This window comes from Homo sapiens, chromosome 2 (assembly GCF_000001405.40).
Source record: "Homo sapiens chromosome 2, GRCh38.p14 Primary Assembly".
Classification (NCBI taxonomy): Eukaryota; Metazoa; Chordata; class Mammalia; order Primates; family Hominidae; genus Homo; species Homo sapiens.
This window is the reverse complement of record NC_000002.12, coordinates 168,803,219-168,826,086: the sequence shown is the minus strand read 5'-3', so window position 1 is coordinate 168,826,086 and position 22,868 is coordinate 168,803,219. Positions and strand designations below refer to the sequence as shown.

At 40.7% G+C, this 22,868-nt stretch overlaps 1 protein-coding gene across 12 annotated transcripts in view; it reads right to left on the bottom strand.

The window, feature by feature from the left end:
- Window positions 1-22,868, bottom strand: part of NOSTRIN (nitric oxide synthase trafficking) — a 78,976-nt gene that overhangs the window by 39,428 nt on the left and 16,680 nt on the right. For 9 of the 12 annotated variants that reach the window (XR_007069110.1, XR_922836.2, NM_001171631.2 and 6 more), the window contains 2 exons: window positions 14,435-14,520; window positions 1,370-1,453 (listed from right to left, as the gene is read on the bottom strand). Coding sequence is in view for 8 of the 12 variants with exons in the window: in NM_001171631.2 (NP_001165102.1) it covers window positions 1,370-1,453; window positions 14,435-14,520 (170 nt within the window). In the remaining 4 variants the exon portion in view is untranslated. Of the gene's footprint in view, window positions 1-1,369; window positions 1,454-14,434; window positions 14,521-22,868 lie in introns of those variants that run through there. The other 3 variants (NM_052946.4, XM_017003279.2, NM_001171632.2) reach the window with 2 other exon arrangements.

Sequence of the window (22,868 nt, the reverse complement as noted above, 5' to 3'; positions counted from 1 at the left end):
TTACTTTTACTTTAAAGAGATCTTGAGAGGTAAGATAAATTTTCCTAGGTCACTCACCTGTTAAGTGGTAGAGTTAGAATTTAAACCTGGGCAGTGTATCTATACTCAACCACTGTGCTATACTGGCTTCACTGTAGTCTACTAAAATACTGTCCTAAAAATAAAAATAAAGCTAAAAGAGCACTTTCAAAGCCACCATTTGTTATTATGGCTGATGCCTAAAGAAGAGTGGAAATTTGAGCTCCAGAAGCCTTCTTTTTTTCCTTTCCCCTTCTTATCTCTTTCATCATCAAAAGAGACCTCTACAATGGCACTGTCAGTTCAAGGGCACGTCTGCATGCATTAGTCAAGAATCTTTGTAGCAAATTACCACGAATGAACTATCTTTGGTATACCAATATCTTTCTTCTCTCCCCCTAATAAAGGAATCTACTTCATTCTTAGTGCTGCAATATATTGAAAAGAATGTGAACCAATACCTTTCAGTACCTAATGTGCTAAGCTCTCCACACACATGATCTCATTTAATATGCCCACACACACACAATAGAGCACATATTATTACTCTGTCCAACAGAGGAAGAAATAAAGGCACACAGAGGCCAGGTTACTTGTCAAAAGCCATAGAGTAGAGAAAATATAGGATTTACACTTCCTGACTCCAAGACAACCTGACTTTAACAACACCACTTCCCAAGTTAAATATCATTACCAAGGCCTATTATGAATGTGGCCTTAGGAGTCATAAACACTGAGGAAGAATCCAGCTATGCAACTCATGATCTGGGTGATTGGGGGAAGTATCTTGAACTTTCTGTCTCAAGTCCTTATCTGTAAACAGGGATAACAAGACCTCTCAAGGGTTCTTATGAGGATTAAATGGGAGTATCAGTAAAGCATTAACACAGTGCATGCACACAGTAAGTGCCCAAGAACTGGAAGCCATGCTTGATGTTATGTACTTGCCATGTTTAGAAGAGGAAGCTGGAATGGAACATGTCACTTTTTACTATTTTTAAGAATGATTTTGCTGGGTGTGGTGGCTCACACATGTAATCCCAGAACTTTGGAAGGCCAAGGCAGGAGGATTACTTGAGCCCAGGAGTTCAAGACCAGCCTGGGCAACATAGTAAGACCCTGTCCCAACACAAAACAAATTTAGGGCATGGTCCCAGCTACTCTATATGGGAGGCTGGGTGGGAGGATCACCTGAGCCTGGGGGATTGAGGGTGCAGTGAGCTGTGATTGTGCCACTGCACTCTAACCCAGGTAACAGAGCAAGACCCTGTCTCAAAAAACAAACAAACAAACAAACAAAAAACAAATAAAAAAAGGGTTGATTTTGCCTTACCTCTGCCACAATACTTACCTTTTTCTCGTGTTCTGTAATGCTTTGCTCAGCTTGCTTGCCAGTTTCTGAAGTCCTTTGGCATAGCTAATTTCCAGGTTTGCCCTGTTAGAAAAGGACTAGTTAAATAGGATGTACTGGGCTGGGCACAGTGGCTCACACCTATAATCCCAGCACTTTGGGAGGCCAAGGCAGGCAGATCACTTGAGGCCAGGAGTTCAAGACCAGCCTGGCCAACATGGTGAAACCCAGTCTCTACTAAAAATACAAAAATTAGCCAGGCGTGGTGGCAGGCGCCTATAATCCCAGCTACTTGGGAGGCTGAGGTGCGAGAATCGCTTGAGCATGGGAAGAGGATGTTACAATGAGCTGAGATTGTGCCACTGCACTCCAGCCTGGGTGACAAAGCGAGACTCCATCTCAAAAAAAAAAAAATTGATTATGCTGGCTGGAAATCAAGCAAACCAAACATACACACAGATGCACACATGCACACATGTATGCAAGAAGGAGAGATCAGGCTGAAAATGTAATGCCTACGTAAAGAAGAGATGATTTGTTTACTACAAGGATCCTTTTGTCCTTAAGCATAATCCTGAAGGGTATCCAAGAGGATCCTAAAAAGACAGAGGTTTCTGTTTTTGTTTTTTTGTTTTTTGTTTTGAGATGGAGTTTCCCTCTTGTTGCCCAGGCTGGAGTGCAATGGCACAATCTTGGCTCACTGTAACCTCCACCTCCCAGGTTCAAGTGATTCTTTTGCCTTAGCCTCTCAAGTAGCTGGGATTACAGGCACGTACCACAATGCCCGGCTAATTTTGTATTTTTAGTAGAAATGAGGTTTCAGCATGCTGTTCAGCTGGTCTCAAACGCCTGACCTCAGGTGACCCACCCGTCTAGGCCTCCCAAAGTGCTGGGATTACAGGCGTGAGCCACTGTGCCCAGCCCAAAGGAAGAGTTTTTAACTAAGCTTCTTTTACATCATGCTAATGGGTTGAATTGTGTCTCCCAAGAAGAAGTTGAAGTCCTACTCCCCAGTGCCTGTGAATGTGACCTCATATGGGAATAGGGTCTTTGCAGATGATGATCAAGTTAAGATGAGGTCATCAGGGTGGGCCCAAACCCTATAGTGGATGTGTCCCATATAAAGAGAAAATTTGGACATAAACAGACATGTACACAGAGAAAAAGCCATGTGAACATGAAGGCATAGATCTGAGTGGTGCATCTACAAGCCAAAGAATGCCAAAGATTGCCAGCAAATCATCAGGAGCCAGGACAGAGGCACAGAACAAATTTTCCCTCACAGCCCTCAGAACGCACCTCTGACTGCCAGCCTGCAGAACTGTGAGACAACACACTTCTGTTGTTTAAGCCACTCATTCTGTGGTACTTTGTTATGACAGCCCTAAAAACTAATGCAACTGGCCGGGCGCGGTGGCTCACGCCTGTAATCCTAGCATTTTGGGAGGCCGAGGTGGGCGGATCACAAGGTCAGGAGATCGAGACCATCCTGGCTAACACAGTGAAACCCCGTCTCTACTAAAAATACAAAAAATTAGCCAGGTGTGGTGGCTCACGCCTGTAGTCCCAGCTATTCAGGAGGCTGAGGCAGGAGAATCTCTTGAACCCAGGAGGTGGAGGTTGCAGTGAGCCAAGATTGCGCCACTGCACGCTAGCCTGGGCGACAGAGCAAAACTCCATCTCAAACAAAAACAAAAACAAAAACAAAAGTAATACAACTAGTAAGGAACAGAAAACTGTCCTACTGATCTCGGGATATTAGCACTAATCAGATTAGCTCTAGATTATAATCGTTGGCAATAAAATAAATTATGATTGGATTAACCAAGCAGAACTTTCTAATGGGAATCGGCAGTGGTAGCCAACACCAGATTTAGAAAATGAATTTCTATTACTTTCTTTGCAGCACAAGGCTCAGTAGGAAGTCTGGGCATGCCCTCCAAAAGCAAACCCCTTGGTTCTTTTGGATAGATTGAATCATTCTCATCTTAAACCTATTTTACCATGTCCTATTTACAGACCCATCTATAGCTAAAATGAGGGCATCTTCATATCACTTTTGACTATAGAGAATAAAAATGTAGGGAATTAAGTTCAATTTATATTATGTTTTCCTTTTTAATATAGATCCTAAGAGTTTTCATTGCATTTTTCAGTCTGTTAATCCATTTTTATTATATTTTAGAATTATTTATTATGTTATTTCATTTGGGCAGAGCTCTCTAATAACTAGTCTAATACCTGCGTGTTTTCACACAAATTAACTCCGTGGCATAGACTGAGCAAAGAAAGACAGCCCTCTTCTATAAAATGAAATTCAGAGATGATGGGCTATTGATCTATTGCTAAATTACTATTCATTTTTTTTTTCTCTTAGTACAGCTGTGCTTTAAGTTGTTTTTACCACTTTTTGTAAGAAAGTCATTGCAGGATGTATGCTAAGGCCTAGCTGCAGAAAACAACCATTTGGTGTCAGAATTTGCCCAGGCATAAGGAAAGGCTAAGGCAAGTATTTTGAGACAATGAAGCCAGTCAATAAATATCTCATCGCACTTAAAAATAGATTTCTCTGCTCTAGGAATATGTCCCAGTTGATGGAGAGGAGAGAAAAAGAGTGCTGGTTAACAGCCAGCTGGGAGAGACCATCACCCTTGATGAACTCAGATGCTCTGGAACCCCAGGAGATCTCTACCATTCAGTGGGGGTGGCTTCAGGTACTGTTAAAAAGAAGTTACATGACCTACTTAAAGAGGGTTTTATGAAAATTAAAATGTGTTGAGAGCCCAAGTCTACTAGGGGTTCAATGTCTGGAACGATTGCTGCTGACCTGCAAAGCTCTGCATGATCTGACTCCGGCAGCCTCTCCGATTTCCCTTCCTGCCAGGCACCACTTGGCTGATTCTACTCCTATTCAGTGGCCAACTGCCATCCTGCCTCAGGGCCTTTGCACTTGCTGTGGCCTCTGCCGAGAGCTTCTGCTACATAACCACGTGGTATTCTCCTTTGTGTCATCCCCAACAGGAGCTGCTCGAACATCACTGCCTCAGAGGTTTGCCCCGTCTAAAAAAGGATCCTCGCCACTCTCCCCTTACAGTTTTATTTATGTCTTACTGTATCTTGTATCACATTATAATGTTTTAGTTTACTCTGGTGAACACCCCTCGGATGTGAACAGTTTCATAAGGGTCAAGAATGGCTTTGTTCATTGCTATATCCCTAGGCCTAGAAGAGTGCTTGGCACATAACAGGCACTCAGTATGTATGTCACAAATGAATGAATGAATAAGTGAATGGACTTCCCACCAGGTCTTGGTTGGAATTCTTACTGGTCTCTGCCATAGGTTTGTTCTCACCTCACCACTTTTGAGAACTGTAAATTAACAAGCTGTTTAAATGCAGTCTCTCTGGTTTGGGTGCTCAGCCCCGATGTTAGAGCACACTGCTGTCAAGCACTTGAAATACCTAGACACATAAACCCTTCTGAGTCCAGGAAAGCTAACCAGAGGGCTTTTTAGGTCTTTTCTTTCCAGCATTGTATTCTTTCTTGGAAGCAGCACAAAGAGCATTAAATAGGATAATGCTTTTTATAATGTTCAGCTCAGTGCTAGGCACAAAAATCATCCTTAATAAATATTAATTCTTCTAATATGATTATTGTGTATCCAGAAGAAATACACAGCAGTGGGGATGGTGTGGGAGGAAGAATCCCGTTTTCTTGTCCGTTGGCTCCAGAACAATCCTGAATGGTTTTTAACAGGAAAGGTAACACTGTCAGTCACAGCCTCTTCCTCAGAATTCAATTCTACTTTCAGAATGTTCTTGCAGACTGTACAAGGTGTCTCTGAGGCTAAGCAGACCTAAAAAGGACACCAAAAAGAAGTGCTGCTTTCCTTTATGTTGTTAAGTTTATTCCACTTGAGGAAAAAAAAGTTGGGCTTTGGTGGTATGAAAAAGGGGTCCTTGTTCACTTTGAGGTGATTTGGGGCTTTTTTTTTTTTTGGCCAGCTTTTCTCCTGTGCCCCAGTGTTTCTGCCGGCTTTCTCTTGAGCATGGTAGGAAACCAGCCTAAAGAGGTTCAACTACCACACAGCACTTCTTGTGTTGGGAGTCTTCTCTTTACAGACAAGTACCTTAGAAATCTTCAGCAGGGCAGATTTGTGGGTTTATAGCATGGTATACAGGTTAAAAGTTCCTGTATATTGCACCTAAAGAGACTGTCCAGACAGTGGTCTCCTGACAAAGGTGTTGCCTTACCTTTGTGACATGCTGATGCTTGACCTGTGTTCTCCCTAGGCAAGAAACAGGAACATCCAACACTTACTGGGCACTTACAACGTGCCAGGCGTCATTCTGGGTGTTATAGGTATATTTCCTCATTTAATCCCTGATAACCCATGAGGCAGGTATACTCTCTCTACCCATTTCATGGAACGGAACACCAAGGCACAGAGAGTTGGGTCAGTCACTAGCCTGAGGGCACATAGGAAGGAAGTGATGGTCACAGACTTGGATTCCAGCCCTGGGCAGTCTGGCTGGGGAACTGCCTGCTTAACCACACCTCTTTCCTACCTCTGAAGTTTTGGGGAAGAGATTGCAGATGGAGAATTGTGGGAGAAGTGGAACAAAAGGGCTTTCAAAAATTGATACCGCCTCTCACTTCACCTTTAATTGCAGTGTTCTGAATCAGCACAGCTCCTGGAGGCTGAATAGCTGGAGTCCCAATTCACAGCAGCCTCAGAGCAGACATAACGAGCTTCCAGGCCTGTTCCAAAGGCATCTGTGCAGTTGCAAGGCATTTGGGGGATAGGGAGTGGGGATGTTGAGGGTCTGGCAAAGTGGGAAGGATGGGGACTCTGACAGCAAATGTCACCGAGCTAGCCCTCTGGGCTGGAGTGAGTTGGATGTTGCCTCTCTGAACAGCACGATTGTACCCTTTCTCTGCCTGCAACTTATTGATGACCCCGAAGGGTTTAGAACTAGCATTCAAATCAACCAAGCAAAGCAGGCTGCAATCATCTACTCTTGCATTTTAAATCCTAATGACCATTTTGGGAACCTGAGCAAATTACTCTGCAAGACAGAAGGAAATGAAATGTGATGGGGAGATGGGTGTGGGACAGTGTCACTGTGCACTCTTTCTGCACAGTTATAACGAAACCTCTCCCAGGCCTCTAGCGCTGAACGGCTTTTATCTCAACAGATGTTAACGGTTAAATTCTTCCCCTGAGAGAATCGCTCCTTTATAAGAAGCCATGTTCCAAGTGGCAAGCGTGAAGAAAGCTGTTATTTTTGTAAGTCAGAATGTTTGCAAATGGAAACAAACACTTCCATGCTTTTCCGTGCACACTTCCACGGCTCTTCCATGCTTCCGGTCTAATGAGGCAGTATATGTATCCTTTCAGGATTCCTGCTAAATAGAAATGAAATGACCTGGATGTTTTCCCAAGGCAGAGGCAGCAAGGCACACCCCACTTAGAATGATTTCTTCTCATCTCTCAAAGGGAGGTGCTTTATCTCGGTTCAAGCTGAAAAAGTACCACATGCAAGGGGAGTAGAGAGAGCAGAGCTAATCTCACACTGAGATGTGAAATTTTCATTCCCTCATTAAAATAGTCAGAAACAAGCTTGTAAAGACATTGTGCTTAATTCTCTAGCCCTTTTGCATTTTTTTCTTTCCATTCTACTGCCACCATAGCTAATACAACTTAAAATGCCTTCTCCAAGCAATTGTCTTGGCCTGTGTGAAATTGGTGATGCATATATATTTTGATAGGCAACCCGATCTCAGAATATTCCAGTGGTTTTAAAGATTCTGGACCCTGCCCTGTAAATATATACACCTACTATATACCCACAAAAATTAAAAATTAAAAAAATTTTTTAATATGCTAAAAAAGGTTCTGGACCAAGGAAGTGACATGCACTGACTTTTAATCCCTTTACATTCTAATTTTCTCTCAGCATGCAAGGCTGGTCAATATATTTTCATTAGTAATAATGAAGGCCAATTGATAAGTCAAAGACCAATGTTTGACTTAGATTTTAAAATAAATTATATTTTTGAAAGAAAAGAGAGATGGAAAATATGTGATTTCAGATTCAATATTTTAGATAAAGCGCTAATTAAAATGTAAGAATATGTGACCATGTAATCAATATTAGACTATCCTGCTTTTGTAAAACTAAGATAATGAAAAGTAGTTTAAAAAACAAACTGTAGTTGCCCCCTGTGTCTATGAGGAATTAATTAAAATGGAGTTAAGGCCAGGAGCAGTGACTTGCACCTCTAATCCCATCTACTCCAGAGGCCGAGGTAGGAGAATCATTAAGACCAAGAGTTTGAGACCAGCCTAGGCAACATATCAAGATCCCATTTCTACAAAAAATTTGTTTAAAATTAGCCCAGAGCAGTGGCACACACCTGCAGTCCTAGCTACTTGAGAGGCTGAGGCGAGAGGAGTTCGCGAGCACAGGAGTCTGAGGCTGCAGCAAGCTATAATTGCACCACTGCACTCCAGCCTGAGCAGCAGAATGAGAACCCCATCTCTAAAAAACATAAAATAATAAAATAGAGCTAAGCCCTTCTCATGCTTGAAAGAAGCAGGTGACAGAGTCCTCCCTTCATTATAAATTAAGAAGGAATTTTAATAACCTCAAATTCTTCTGTTGGGATATCACCCATCTTTTAAGTTCCTACTTAGGACCAGCACCAGCTTCCAGTTTGGGGGTGGATGTGCTGATATTTTCTATCCAAACTTCATTGGTATGTCTTTTGAAAGACCATCACAAGCTCCTCTTACAGATTGTATTTAAAGTTCATTACCGGCAACTTGAAAGACATTTTCATATTGAAGCTCTGTCATTGGAGTGGCTGGCTCACTTGCTAGCCCACTGCAGCATTATCGATTGTCTTAATTCTGCTTCCTGAGAACAGTATAAAAAATGCTGAAATAGGAGGATAAGACCTGAATGATGCCCTTCTTGAGGGTCTAGTTTGGGAGTCTCACTGAGCCCCGGCTCACTCTGGCCCAGGGAAAACGTAAGCAATGGCAGCTCTAGAACTTCAGAGCCTAAAGTGTGCATTCATTCCTAAGCTTAGTGCATTTGTGTGTGGGGTAGGGGAGGACAGGGAGTATTGTGGTGAGGGAATTCAGGTAAAGTGGACAAGAAAGGCAGTTTTCCAAGCTTTTCAGCAGGGAAACAAAATTTTATGCAGAATTCCACTGTATCATATAAATACCAGTCAAATTGATCTGATTAAAAGGGAGAAGGAATGAGGAGGAAGCAGAGCCCTGCCCACTTAACCTCCTCCTCACCCCCTGAGGTAGCCCCTGTGGGCTCCCCACAAACCCCTTGAGCTATAAGGTTTGAAAGCCACTGGGCTTCATGACTGCTGCTGTCCCTTTCCATAGAGGACCCTAAGACTCTGCAAAGGAGGCTGAACCAGGACTCCCTGAGCATGTTGGGTCACCCAGGGCAGTGCCCAAAACTGCCTATCCACTTGGGGATACCCTGGCACTGAGCCTGGGTTGAGCTGGGTAGGAATCCAAATGTATCATCTTTTCCATATCCCCATCTGTAAATCAGAAATGGAGAGAAGTATGTACGCTGTGGGTTGTGAGATAATTAAAGAGATCAAGTATAAGACACACTTAACACAGTGGCTGGTCTATGGGTTGTACTGAATAAGTGGTCTCTCCTGTGATTTTATTTTTTCTAGCTTTTCTTCAAAATAATATGCTACATATTATGCCAGTAAATGTTTTTGACATACCCACTTATGACTCCTCAAAAATAGCCTAACTTGATCTTCATTAACGTTATGAGTGCCTTCAAGGCAGAGTCACTCAAACATGAGTGCCTTCATTTACTCAGTGAGCATCTATTGAATGCCTACTCAGTGCCAAGCCCATGCTAGTCACGTGGGACACAAAGACCCTCAAGGAGTTCAGCCTCTAGGGAAAGAGACAGGCAAGTGAACAGAGAATTACAGTGCAGGGTGTAAGAGCTACAACAGATGCAAGCACTAATTCTACACATAGAACTGAGGAACATTTTTTTGAGACTGGAGACTGGAGTTAAGGAAGGCCTGCCACAGTGGGATGACTGGATCTTAAAGAATGTGTTGAATGGAGCCAGGCAATGAAGGTGATGAAACATCTACCAGGCAGGCAATACAGCCTGTGCAAATGCAGGGACCCACGTGTGGTGGTGGTGGTGGTGATGCAGGAGTGTGAGTGGGGTGCAAATGGGGTGGGATTGCAAGTGGCCCAGTAAGGAGAGAGGCAGGGATCATGGGGAGACGGAAAGAGAGAAAGTAAACAGGAAGGCAGAGTTCAGCTCTCGAAGGCCCTTTTATAAAATGATGAGGGCTAAATTTTATCCTAAAGGTCATAGGAGTCTTTGAAGCGTCTTAAACAGGGTCATGGCTACAGAGTGAAAGGCGCGTTAAAGACAGGCACAGGGCCTCAGCTGGCCCACAAGTTCAGGAAACTTTGCTTGGATTGGAAACGGGGTCTTCTAAAGGGGCACAGCTCTGTCAGAGTAAAAGGCTTAAGGGGTAAGAGTGGATTAGATTTCTGCCTCCATTCATCTCACTCAGCCATGTGCCTTTGTACAGCATACAAACTCCACGGCTATAAGGCAGCACTTCTAGGCAGAATAGTTTAAGAGAGTTTTGCCAGAACAGTGGAAGAGGCCATAAAATAAAAAGAAAGCTGTGGATCTCAAAGGGGTTTCAAAGAGAGAAATATGGTCTTGGTCATGAGTTGAGATGGACAGAATCATGGATACAGATGGTCCCAGGCATTGAGCTTGATTGGCTGGGCAGTGGTTCCCAGAAGGAGGACCAGCTTTGGAGAAGAGTGGATAAACCCTGTTTTAGACATATTGACTTTGTGGTTCCATGGGACTTCCAGGTGGAGATGTCCAATATACTGTGATATATATGGTTTGAAGTTCAGTTTAGACATGTTCCTAGTACTGCACATTTGTAAATCATCAATATGCAAGAGAGCTAAAGCTGTGGGAGTTAAGGTCACCCAGGATGATGGTAGAGTAGATTATTTTTCAAATATTTAATTTCAATTTTTTATTGCTTTGTTGACAGTGTCCGCAATGAATCATGGATTGAACAAGTGGTCAACTATACCTCCTTCTTTTATTCTTTTCTTTTTAATGTCCAGAGCAGCAGTTCTTGGCATTTGAAAACCAGATCTTAAACTCCCTTACAGAGGAACAATTGATTTTCCAGTCAAAGCCTGTTTAAACATTAGCTCTGAGGATGCAGGAAGCCAAACATTCACAAAGTGTTTCTGAGAATGTACCTTTGTCTCTTTAAATCTGATCTGTAATTGTATTAAAGTGAATCTGATAACTTTGGCATTAGGCATTCTAGGAGCTGCTATGTTTCTCTGGCTAAATCTGTTTGCTACTGCAAAAAAAGAAGCTGAGGTAGCTAATTGGATAAAAGAAGCTAAGCATGACCATGAATTGCAGAATATCCAGGCAAAAGAGTGTTTTAGTAACAACTGTACTTTTCTATCACTACCCAATTAGATTAAGTGCAAGAGGGCAGCTGAGTTTGGAAAGGAAACATTCTCTGGCCTGGCAGCTTGATTGTGGTGCTGCCTCTGGTATCCAAGTGCTAATACAGAACTCTGTCAAGCAGAACCACATTCCAGGAGCTCTTAAGTAAGGGGTCTGGAAATGCATACCTCCAAGGACAATAAAGGCCTTCTTCTCATAATGTAGATATAATAATTTTTAAAAACCCTTAACTATCTTTCATTTATTTAAAAAAATTTGTTTATGAAAATAGAGATGGGTTGTGCTTTGTTGAACAGGCTGGTCTCAAACTCCTGGCCTCAAGCAATCCTCCCATCTTGGCCTCCCAAAATGCTAGGATTACAGGCATGAGCCACTGCACCCAGCCCATTTATTTATTTATTCAGTCTGCAAGTATTTACTGAATGCATTTTAGGTGGCAGGTACCCCTCATTCAAAACCCCATGTCCTCCTTCACTGTATCTTGAATTATGCTGGCCACAGATTTGCCTTCATCATTGTCTGTCATAACCCTCAATGGAAATGCCTACTGAATATATTCCAAGACTACCATTTTACTTGTCTTATTGGGTTTCCCATTACTTGTCTGTAACCTTAAGTAACAAGATAGTTTCTTTTGAAGAGTAATGGCTTTCCAGGTATTTTTCTAATACAAGGGAAGATTACCATTGGTTCACATGTAATAAGCCCACCTTTAAGAGGAAAATAAGGGCAAGGCGCATTTCTAGATAGCTGGTGGGAATCTGCCTTCTATCCAATGTATATCTAGAGGAGGAATTTCTGACTTCACAGAATGGGGAGAGTCAAGGCAAATGTAATCCCAGCCATGCTGTGACCATCCATCCTTGTTGATATGGTTTAACAACCATAACCAACATAATTGTTGACTCAGTTCAAACACACTAGGAAGAGGGAGTGACCTCAGAATCACGTCACTGTGTGGGAGAGAAATGATCCAGCCCTGAGAAGTGAAGTGGCCTGTATCTTTGCCTGCTAATACACAGAAATGCTGTCTAAAAGTATACAATGTGCCACAAATTCATAGATTAATAGAATATTTGTGTCCATTAGAAAACAGTTCTCCCCAAATGCCATCTCTTTTAGTGTGGACAAGCATCCTTCAGGTTAACTACATGATCTAAAAGCTGAGCAAGGGGAGGAAACTTGAAAGCTCAAGACGAGGAGACACCGCAAATGTACATTTACCAGGAATCAATACAAAGCAACTTTAAAAATGGCTTCTTGGCTAAGGGGAAATAATTTAATTGTAAAAGTTTAGCTTAGAAAATGTTCAGAAAAGCATTTATTACATAAATGACCTAATATGTAGCATAATTTTTTTGATCTAGGTAAAATATTAGATCTGTTCTTTGTACTCATACTATACTGTTTTTGTGCAGGAATGTGCTTTGTAATTTTGCTAACCAGTAGACTCTTGAGATGTTCAAATTCTAAATTCTTCTCTATAAGGATGTAAAGCTATGAGGGGAGATAACTTTAGCTACCCAAGTGTTTCTTCCCCACTGGATATGTTTGTCACTCTAGAATAAGTGAATGGAGGGTTTCACACATTAATAGGTCCAGGGCAGATGGCAGCCCTAGGAAGAGACTTCAAGAAAACAAAAATAAGAAATGAAGGCTCTGCTGTATGAAGAAAGTAGATGTCGGTGGCAAGGTGGGGATATGGAGTGATCTAGAAAAAAGAAAAACAGTGAGACAGGCTTCAAGCAGAGACTCCCTCAGAGTTTTTCAGTTCACTGTTGAGTCTGTTTAGCAGCAGGCATCATCTATTGCCTGTCTTCTATCTTCACAGCTCTCTACCAGGCACTAATTTTGAACTCTCAGACACCAAATAATTAATGCCCAGATGACTACAACCCACGTTACATGCCTGGCTGATACATGCATAGATTCTTCCTGCTCTGCAGGCAGAAGGTGGCTTTCTAATCTGGGTAATGAGTTGAATTCATAGGAGTCATACAAATAATGGGTCTTATTTTAAATAATTTCCTTTGGGACTGATAACAATATTTTCTTACAGAAGAAATTCCCTCTCAGATGGCACCTCCCGCTTTCTCTGTCATGGAACCAGAGCAATTTGGCTGTTAGGATAGAAGTTACTTCATATTTAAAATGTTTCTCTTTTTGACTCCTTTTGATAAATCTGGTTTTGTTCTTTATAAAAGTCTGTTTCAGCTCGCTCATATCTTTCTTTGGCCCCATTTATTTGGTGCTGATAAAGCTAATGTTTTCCTTTTGTCTTGACCTTGAAGGAAGCCAAAACATTCCTCTCAAAAATGCTGCGGGTTGTTGAGTTTAAAAAAGGTTAAAACAAAGGGACACACTCTGCCCCTCTCTCTGCCTTTCCCACCTAAAGACAGTCCAACACTTGCTTATCTGCTCAGAGATGGTGGTGCCAGAGGATCTAGGAGCAGACTTTACTCTTCCCGTATATTTACCTTCCCACATTTTCCTGCCTTTTGGAAGCCCAAAGATGCTATCTTCTTTGTCCCTGTTAGGATTTCTGGCTCTTTGGTGAAATACTATTTAAGCATGACCCCTAAGCCACTGCCTTGAGAGAGAAATACTTTTGAACTAAGGCCTCTCCCATGTGATGGGTATAGCATGTATTAATAAGTTTCTGCTTGTTTTTCTTTTGTTAATCTAACTCGTTTTCAGAAGAGTATCTCAACTAAGAACTTGAAAAGCGACAGAAAAGAAATTATGTTTTCTCCCCTACAACCTACTAATTCAGGATGCAACCAATCCATGGCATCTTTGGTCTTATGGCACACATTCATTATTTTAAATTTGAAATGGTTTTAACAGTCTTCTGAAGGTCTCTTTAGAGTTGCTTATTACGGAGCTATCTAGAAGTAGGGAAAAGGCCTAAAAGGTCCCTTATAACCAAATTCACTCCTTGGGTTTTCTCATTTCAAGCAGGGCTTTCATAACTTTCTTGACTGAGTTAAATGTGCTCATTTCAGCACAGTGAAAAGCTTTACACATGATCATACCTAGTACTAAGAAGACGATGCTGAAAATGGTGACTTTTCATTCATCCACCTGACAGTGACTAAGGAAATCAAAAGGCCAGGCTCTAAGAGGTCAGCATACAATGATGAGTAAGACTGCCTCTGCCCTTCGAGGGGAGAGAAAAATGTAAATAATTGCTGTCGGTGTGAAAAGTACAATAATGAGACTATGCATCAGATCCAACAGTGGGCCCCAGGAGAGGGTAATAAACCCAGTCTGAGGAATCAGAAGAGACTTGACTGAGCCTTCCTAAGCTGAATTACTTCCTGCTGTTTCTTGATTTTTATGGCATCCAGTTGATAAATGTGCAATAGGGGAGAATCACTCTTCAAGCAATCTCTCGAGTACCAAAATATAACACCACATTCTGGAAAGTAGGACAGCTTGTAATCACTCCTCCAGTCATATCACTTGCTACAACTAAAGAGGAAGAACCATTTATTGCAAACGTGCATTTTGTACCTTTGCTGAAGAACAGATGTGACCTGTTTGCAGAAATTCTCTCCATTTTGAGAAAACTCCTTTAGGTTCTTGTATACTTTATTATACTGAAAAACAAGAACAATAACAAAAAAACAATGAACAGGAAGATTACGAGCAACTCCGAAGATAGAGCACCTATAAATTCAGAAAACTACTATAACTATGACTGTCATTATAAAGGATCGTGCAGCTACAGGCATTTATACCTTTTGGATGAGTTCTTAAAATAAAGATGAAGTCTCTTCTACCTGGATATGAAAGACCCAGGAGAACTTTTCAAAAATGAAGCTGATCTATTTCTCCCCTTGGCCAAATGCAAACAATTCAGCAGTGGGGTGCATTTGGAGTCTGGTTTCCTGTCACCCCTATTGTTCCCAGGAAGGACAAAAAAATACATTCTGAAGGACACCACGTAACTATTTTATGCCCCTCCTGCACATATAAACTTCAAAATAATATTTCTGGGGCTCATGACAAACCATGAGCCATTAGAGTGAGCCTTTCTTGTCTGAGATATGAAACTGTCAGTAAATAACCTGGTAAGAAAACTTTGTCCTAGTCCTCTGTCTCATTTAATTCCAGTAAGAAAAATGTTATCGCAATGAGTTGAACATTTTGGTTAAACCAAACTGTTATAAATTTATTAATTACCCTTTATAAATTCATGTATATTTGAATTTATCCTGCGGACACGAGAATTTCCAGTAAAAGTTTTTGTCATTTGATTTAGAACTCCACAATGTCTTCCTGGAAACTATAAATGTAGACATTGATGACAACAGATTTTAAGTGCCCAAACAGAGAAGCTAAATGTCAATTGATTCTGCAGCTTTTTCTGACACAGAGCAAGTGAATTAGATGATGGAATATCCCAGACACACTCTCTCATGGTTTCCATCTGGGAGGTGCAACAGCAGACTGCATTTTTCAAAATGAGATTTTACATAAGAGGACCCAAATTCAGTATGGATTGAGGGCTGTGCTGTTCTTTGCTCATACAATGAGCCAGCCTATTCCAGTGTTCAAATATCGCCAGCATTCAGTTGGGCACCATATTGAGAAGGGAAAAAGGAAGGAAATTCACATTTACTGAGTGCCTCCTATTGCAGCAGGCACATTCACAAACACACAACCCCTCAGGGCCCAGAAAGCCATTCAGTCAACAAAGCACTTGGTATGTGGTGCTTAGCAGAGTATCAAACTAAGGACATAGGGTGACAGAGGAGGAAAGACCTAAAGAAATGAGGTAATCCAGGTCCCTACCTTTGGGGATGGAACAAACCAACGCCTAGGATACAGGAACAGTCTTACCATATCCATTTACCCTTATGCAGTAGTTTAACTTTCCTGTGAATTTAACACAGAAAGCTGTGATAGGACTTGAAACTGCTTGGGATACAAGGAGAGTGGTGAGGGTGCAAAGCTTTAATGAGGAAATTGCTAATTTCTAAAGCAGAGTTTGTAAAATCCTGTGGCTGCTGGCACCAGTCAGGCACCTGAATGAGTGAGGAGGAGGGTGAGGACCGTGAACTGGTGAGGCAGCTGCTAGAACCATTCTGGCCCATCACTGCCACCTGGAATGTGGCCCAGGAAAGCCAGATCTCCCACTTTGTCCAAAAAAGCTGAAATCAGGATTTGCATCCGAAACATGATTTTTTTTTAATGGTAGCAAACAATTCACAAATTAAAAACCTCTCTGCAGTGTAAACAAAACACACTTGTAGTGAGGTTCCAATTTGTAGCCTCTCTCATGAAGGAAAAATAATCCTCCTGTCAGTCATGAAAGTAAAATCACTATTTGGCAATCAAGCTTTCTAATTTTTACTTCCAATAAAACTAACTTTTTATTATTTTTATTATTTATTTTTTATATTTAATATATAAATATTTTAATAAAATAATATAATAATATATTTATTATTATCAGACCATATATGAATGGTCTGATACTATTAAGGCCTCCTTCCTACCCTTACAGCACACTGGGAAAGTTTAAGGGAGTATTTTCAAATTGTGAGAAGACCTGCAGTAAAGAAACTTGTTTAACCTCTTTGTTTACTCCTATGTTACCTAAACATTTCCACTAGATTTCTCCCTAAGCCTTTTGTTTTCTTCTATAATACTTAATAGCATCCCATGAAACACACCTCAGTGTCATGAGAAGAAAATGCCTAAATGTTTAGTGGGGTACATACTCCTGAAATAAGGTCATTTCTCAGCCTCCCTCCCCCTTTGATCTATAACCATGTGACTGAAAGCTATCCAAGGAGATGTGAGGGAAGGTTTTGTATGAGGTTTCAGTAAAGGCTTGTTTGCCCTCTTTTCTTCCTTCTGGACTTGAAAATGAAGGCCAAAGCCATAAAGTGGTATTGAGATTGGACATAATGCATTAAGATCACAGAGTGGAAAGAGAAAAAGAGCCTGGGTCCCTGATGGCTGTGAAGAACACCACACGAGCCCTCAACTCTCTACTTTTGGATTTATTTTATGTGTAAGAAAAATACAATGTTGTTTTCTAAAGACATATGTATTTGGGGTTTTTCTAATATGCAGCTGAACATAGTTCTAACTCATACAGGGTCTTTTTGCTTTGAATTATGAAACACTTTTATGTTTCATAACATAATGATACAGAAAATAATAATACACATTATGTACTCACTACCTAAGTTATAGAGATTTTAACACTTTGCTTCTGCTTTCTCTTTAAACAACTATTTTTTTCCTTTTCATAATTTATTTGGCTATTCTGAGGCATTTATTCTAACATATGAACATTTGTCTAATTACATTTCTTTTTAAATCCCCGTTGGGATCCTAATTGGAATTGTATTACATACATGTATCAATTTGGGAAAATTGACTTTTTAATGGTGTTTAGACTTTCTATCCAAGGACATAGTAAGTTTTTGCATTTGTTCAAATTTTATTTTATGTTCAATAAAATTTTATGATTTTCTTTATAGGTCCTGTGGCTTTCTTATTTGATTTATTTAGAAATATCTCACAGTATTAAGCTATGGATTTTTATGTATTGTCTTATTGACTTCTCTCCAGCCCACAGCAAAGCAGAAACAAAGACTCAACAAAAAGCCATGGGGCCTTGTGCAAGAGAGAAAGACCTGGATGCATGTTTACGGAGTAAATTCTTCTGCTCTCAAACACACTATAAAGCTGGGGCTGAGGATGGGAGAAAAGAAAGCAGAGAGATGGATTCGAGGGATTTAGAGTGGGAAGGAGAAAAAGAACCTCCCATTAGGGGAAGCAGGAGTGGAAGGAAGGGACTCTGAGATGAAATGTCCTAAGGGAAAGGCCCTACCAGTCCACCATCACCACAGGATAGTCTGCACATAGAAGTTACCTATGGGAGAGAACAAGGGACCCTGGACATCAAGCGTGGAATGGGGGCATGTAGAGAAAACTCTGCTCATAACCAATGTAGAAATGAGTAGAACCAGTTGAGAATTTTTCTATGTGCTTGGGTTACAGGGGCTGCTGCATTTCCTAAACTTATCAAGCCATCAAAACTCCCTAAGACACATTTTTAAATACTGTCTCAAGGGAACTAGTTTTAGGAGGCTAGGCCATGCTGAAAGTTTATAAGCCAGTGATTGAAAACTCAATTGCCTTCAGTGGCAGTGGTGAAGCCTGTGGCAAAGGCATTCACATTCAACCTCTTAAAGTAAGGGGCTGCTGGACCAAAGCACAGTCTATGGCTTCCATTGACCCATGGGCTACCAGGTCTAGATTTTGGAAGATGATTTTCTGTCATTTCATAGACCAGTACTTTCTAACTTTTGTCCCAAAATGGTGCACATAGCAAATATTTGTACTGGTAGAGTGTGGTAAATGGACAAAATTGTTCCAGGAAGAGGGAACTGGCCCATGGCTTTGCCTCGTACCTCGCTCCCAGCCATACTCTGCCAATTCAACGGTGCAGAGGATTTGTGTCTAAGGTACACCTGTAACCCACCCTCAAACCTCAAACGCCAGTATGCCCAGGCACATGCAAGTTGAGAAGATCTTCATACTTGTTGTTAATTTAGCGATCAGATAAGAGATGTGCTTACAAGAGCAATGGAGAGAATCTTTACCCTTGATCCTATATACTATACGCCAAAAATTCCCCCAACAAACCTTGATCCAGATTGAGATAAAGGTGACATCAATAAATAAAAGATTTGCTAAGAATATTTTCATTATCCCAGCATAAACCCTTATTTAGAATCAATCATTCTGTACTTTTCATTATGTACCATCTACTGAGACTTGGAGACAAAAACTGTGAAAAGCAGACCCACTTAAATGCTACAGCAGACTTCCAGAGACCATATAGTTCTCTCTCTCTCTGTGTGTGTGTGTATGTATGTGTGTGTGTGTGTTCAGAAAATCTTGGAACTTACCTGCTTTGTGGGGGTGAAATCACTTGACTTTAGTTTTGGTTGTCTCACTCCTACCTCACCACACTCCCACCCACCAGAGAGGACTCTGAAAGGGTTCCATGGAGCACAGTTTGCAAGCCACCAAAGTCTAATTCCCTTATTTACAGTTAAGACCCAAAGAGATAAGGATAACCTAATTAGTTAGAGACAGAGTTGTGATTAGAAATGTTAGGTATGAAAATCAATTAGAGAATCCATCAGAAACAAATACATTTATAAATGGCTAATCTGTATAATCACAGTAAGTTTACTCCAAGTTATAGTAGCCTTTAAGTGTTATGTGCAATACAGCTGGCTTCTTGATGTCATTAACCAGCACAAGAAGAAGAGCTTGCTGAGAAGAAGTGCAGTCAGGTGGAAGGCAATTTTGGTGTTCTTTTCCTACCCATTGAGCTTTTAAATATCCTAACCCCCTATCAAATATTCATTCCAGGGAATAATCTACTATTGATTCTACATCTCCATATGAATTCATATTAATATGCTGCTTCTCCTGGGGACCATTAATTATTGGGGAAAAAAACACGATGAGGTTTTTCTCCCCTGATAAAGGGATTTCAGTCTGGTAGTGGAATACCTGGGATCTTCCTGAGCCCCTAAAAAAATAATAACCCCTTCTCAAATAGACAACTGGTCTATTTGACAGACATTTCCCATTCGGCCATTAGGAAAATGTTTCTTCCCAGCACTTGTAAGCAAATTCTGTTGATAAATATAGCCATTACAAAAAACATTTAGTAATCCAGCCAGTCAGCACATGAAATGTTTAGACAGGCGACTTGTAAAGATTATAAAGTGCCTATATCAAGCTTGGCCCACCTGCTCTTTCTGCTTGAATGATTAAGAGGGTTAAATTTAGTTCTAGAAAAAGTTATAGAAAAATTTATTTTTATTGATGCTAGTACAGAAGGATTTTTTTTGATTAGTGATGATCCTCACAGTGTTAAAGAAACCATGATATTCCCCTTAAATTTAACACAATGAACTTTGCTGACTGCCTTTACTACGCCAGGCACTGTGCTACTGATATCATGTGAGTTCTGATTCACTGGGGGTGATGTTTCAAAGCACTGCCCCTCTCTGAAGGGATTCCATGTACTTGTTCACCATCTGCGTAGTATTTGGAATCCCTGTGGCAGACTGTCATAGATTACGGGATATGGAACATTAAAGAGCATAGTCTACTCCATCCTTTCCTCCTTTTACTTTACACACAAGGAAACAGAGGTCCAAGAAATGTGGAATGGCATGTTACACATCTCACTGATGCACACTGGGGAGGCTGTGGGCCACGTGACACCCATGCCATATGCAGCCTCCTTCTGTATTTTTGCAGCGAGTCAGATTCTCCTAGGAGCTACGGACCATGGCACCGGCACCATCTGAGTTAGTGACAGTCATTGTCTGATATCCAGGCTAAGCCACCAAGATGGGAAGCTCAGGTTGGCATCTGAGCCAGGTTACCAACCTGAGGAGCAGCCTGGTGCCATTTCAATGGCCGATGACATGCGGGGAGGGGCTGACTGTGTGGCGCCCAGAAGACTTGCTTTGACAGACCCCTTCCTGGATACTGTATGAGTGTGTAAAAAGCAAAAATTTGGCTACAGCTTGTTACTTGTCCTTGATTTCTATGTGATTGTTTGATAGGAAGGTGCTATTAATACTTTCTTATGATTGGATTCTTTCCCTTAGAGATAATTGGATCTTACTTCGCCTTTCTTGCACATGGATTTGAAGATGAGTTCCCTAGACATATTTTTAGGTTTAAGAGCTAAACCTAAACCTTCATAGGCAATGAAACATCAAGGCCCAGAGCCAATTCTTTTCCTTGTCAAAAACAGAACTTTAAAGATATCTTACAGATATCTTTTTCAAATAAGTTCTGACACTCTCAAGATTAATCCTACACAGCATTTAGGCAATCTTATGCCACCCTGGCAACAATTTGAACTCAAACACTGACCTTGCTCTTTGAGGTTGAAAGGCCCAGCTGTCAGTCTATTTTGCCCATTAGAGCTTGATCTAAAAGAGATTTTTAAATTTTTTCGTACCATGAGCCCTTTTTGTAGTCTCATGAAACCTATTTGATTCAGAATAACATTTTTAAGTAGCGTAGGGTTAAAAAGGAAATGAATTATATATTTTTTAGAATGTATTTTTAAAATTATGATATTATGTGCTTTTTTATTAACATACTAAATTACATATCTTAAGTATTACCAACATTTTGAAGTCAGGGTGAATGTAAATATTTCTAGATATGTGCAACAACTGTAATGTTATCATAAAATTTCTGATTTTTATTGGTTACAAAGTCACAGACACTATACAGATATGACTAATAGTATTGGGGCTTGTTGCCTATATTCTGGATTGAATAAAATTCTAAATTTCAGTTAGAAATTAGTACAAATAGAGATTTTTTTTCACTGAAGTTCATGCAACCCACTGAGTTCCATACATGGGTACATTGGTGTGGGCCCGGTTAAGAACAGTAGCTAAGCTAATACTTTATGAACTGTGCTCTGTGCAACTCTAGGGACTCATGGAAGGGGACATTTTGCAGGTGGTTAAAGCTTTGGGTTCTTTTATAAAACTACCTAAATGTTTCATGAGGCACTCATTTGCAATCCATTTCCTTGTCTTATTTTGTTCCCAAACCGCAGATTCATCTTCACATAGCATTGTTCCCCAAGTACAAGCTAAGAATGTGCCAGGAAATCAACTTGAACACTTGATTAAGATGAAACAATTGCAAATAAATAAATGTTCTGTGAGTTTAGAGGGTTTGGAAACCCAGGCTGAAGGGATATCCGCCCTCCCCATGACTCCCGGATACTTTTGGTGGCAATGAGCCCATACAGATGACCTTCAAAGTTTTAGACAAGGACAGGAGTCCTTGGCCCAGCATAGCACAAGGAACTATTCAGCATGCCAGGGAGTGGAGCTTTAAGCAGACACAGAAGTGTGGTTATGGGTTGCCTTGGGGGCTGCTGAAAGAAAACATTTCTCCACGTCTGAAGACTTGACTTTGCTGTCTACAAAAAGGATGTTAGACCTTCAGTTTCTTTTTTATGGATTTATTTCTTCTTCTCTTTTTAAACTTAATTAAAGCTGCCCACCATTTCCCTGTCTTCTGTCCATTGCACCCTTCCCTGGTGTTAATTTTCTTCTTTGGTTACTATTAGTGCCAAGATTTTGCTGCCACTTACCCCATCCCTGTCCTGGCCTGCCGCCCCTATACAAAAACATTGAGGTAGGAGTGTTGAGACAGGAGAGGATTTAACAGTTTAGTCAGGGAGCAACCTCAAGGAGAGAAAAATAAATGATAAAAGACTTCTTAAAAATTATTCACAATTAACAATGGAGAGAACACTGAGATTGAAGTAATTAAAGGGGGAAGTTTCACTCTTAAAAATCTATATATAACCATATCATTGGAATTTGTTTCTACATTAAGCACAAATTATTTCTGTATTTAAAAAAAGGAAAATTAGGCAGAATTGGCTACTATGTTGTCATTATTAAAATTACTAGTCATTTATGAGTTCATCTCATTTAGCTCATCTGATTTTCTGCAATAGTAACTATAGTTCCATTTTTTCCAACCATGTGCTTTTCTTATCCATTGAATAAACAAAAAGGAAATCAATAATCCTCTGCTGATCTTTTTCTTTATGACTTTATCTCAGCGCCCATTTATCTGCCGCCCCACAGTTTGTGTTATCAATACATGAAGGATGACTGCAACCTCCTGCTTATGATGTCACCAATCTTAGCTTTTCAGCCCCATGTGTTGGGATAAAACACTGACCCTCCTTAATTACTTTATTTTCAAAGTAAACATATCCCCCCCTTTATTTTAGTTGCTTCTTATCTCCTAAATTACATCTCTGCTATTGCCGCCGGAGACCTCACAATGTCTTTGGACTTCTGACCAAACTTATATTTTTGGTAGTGCTCCAAACATT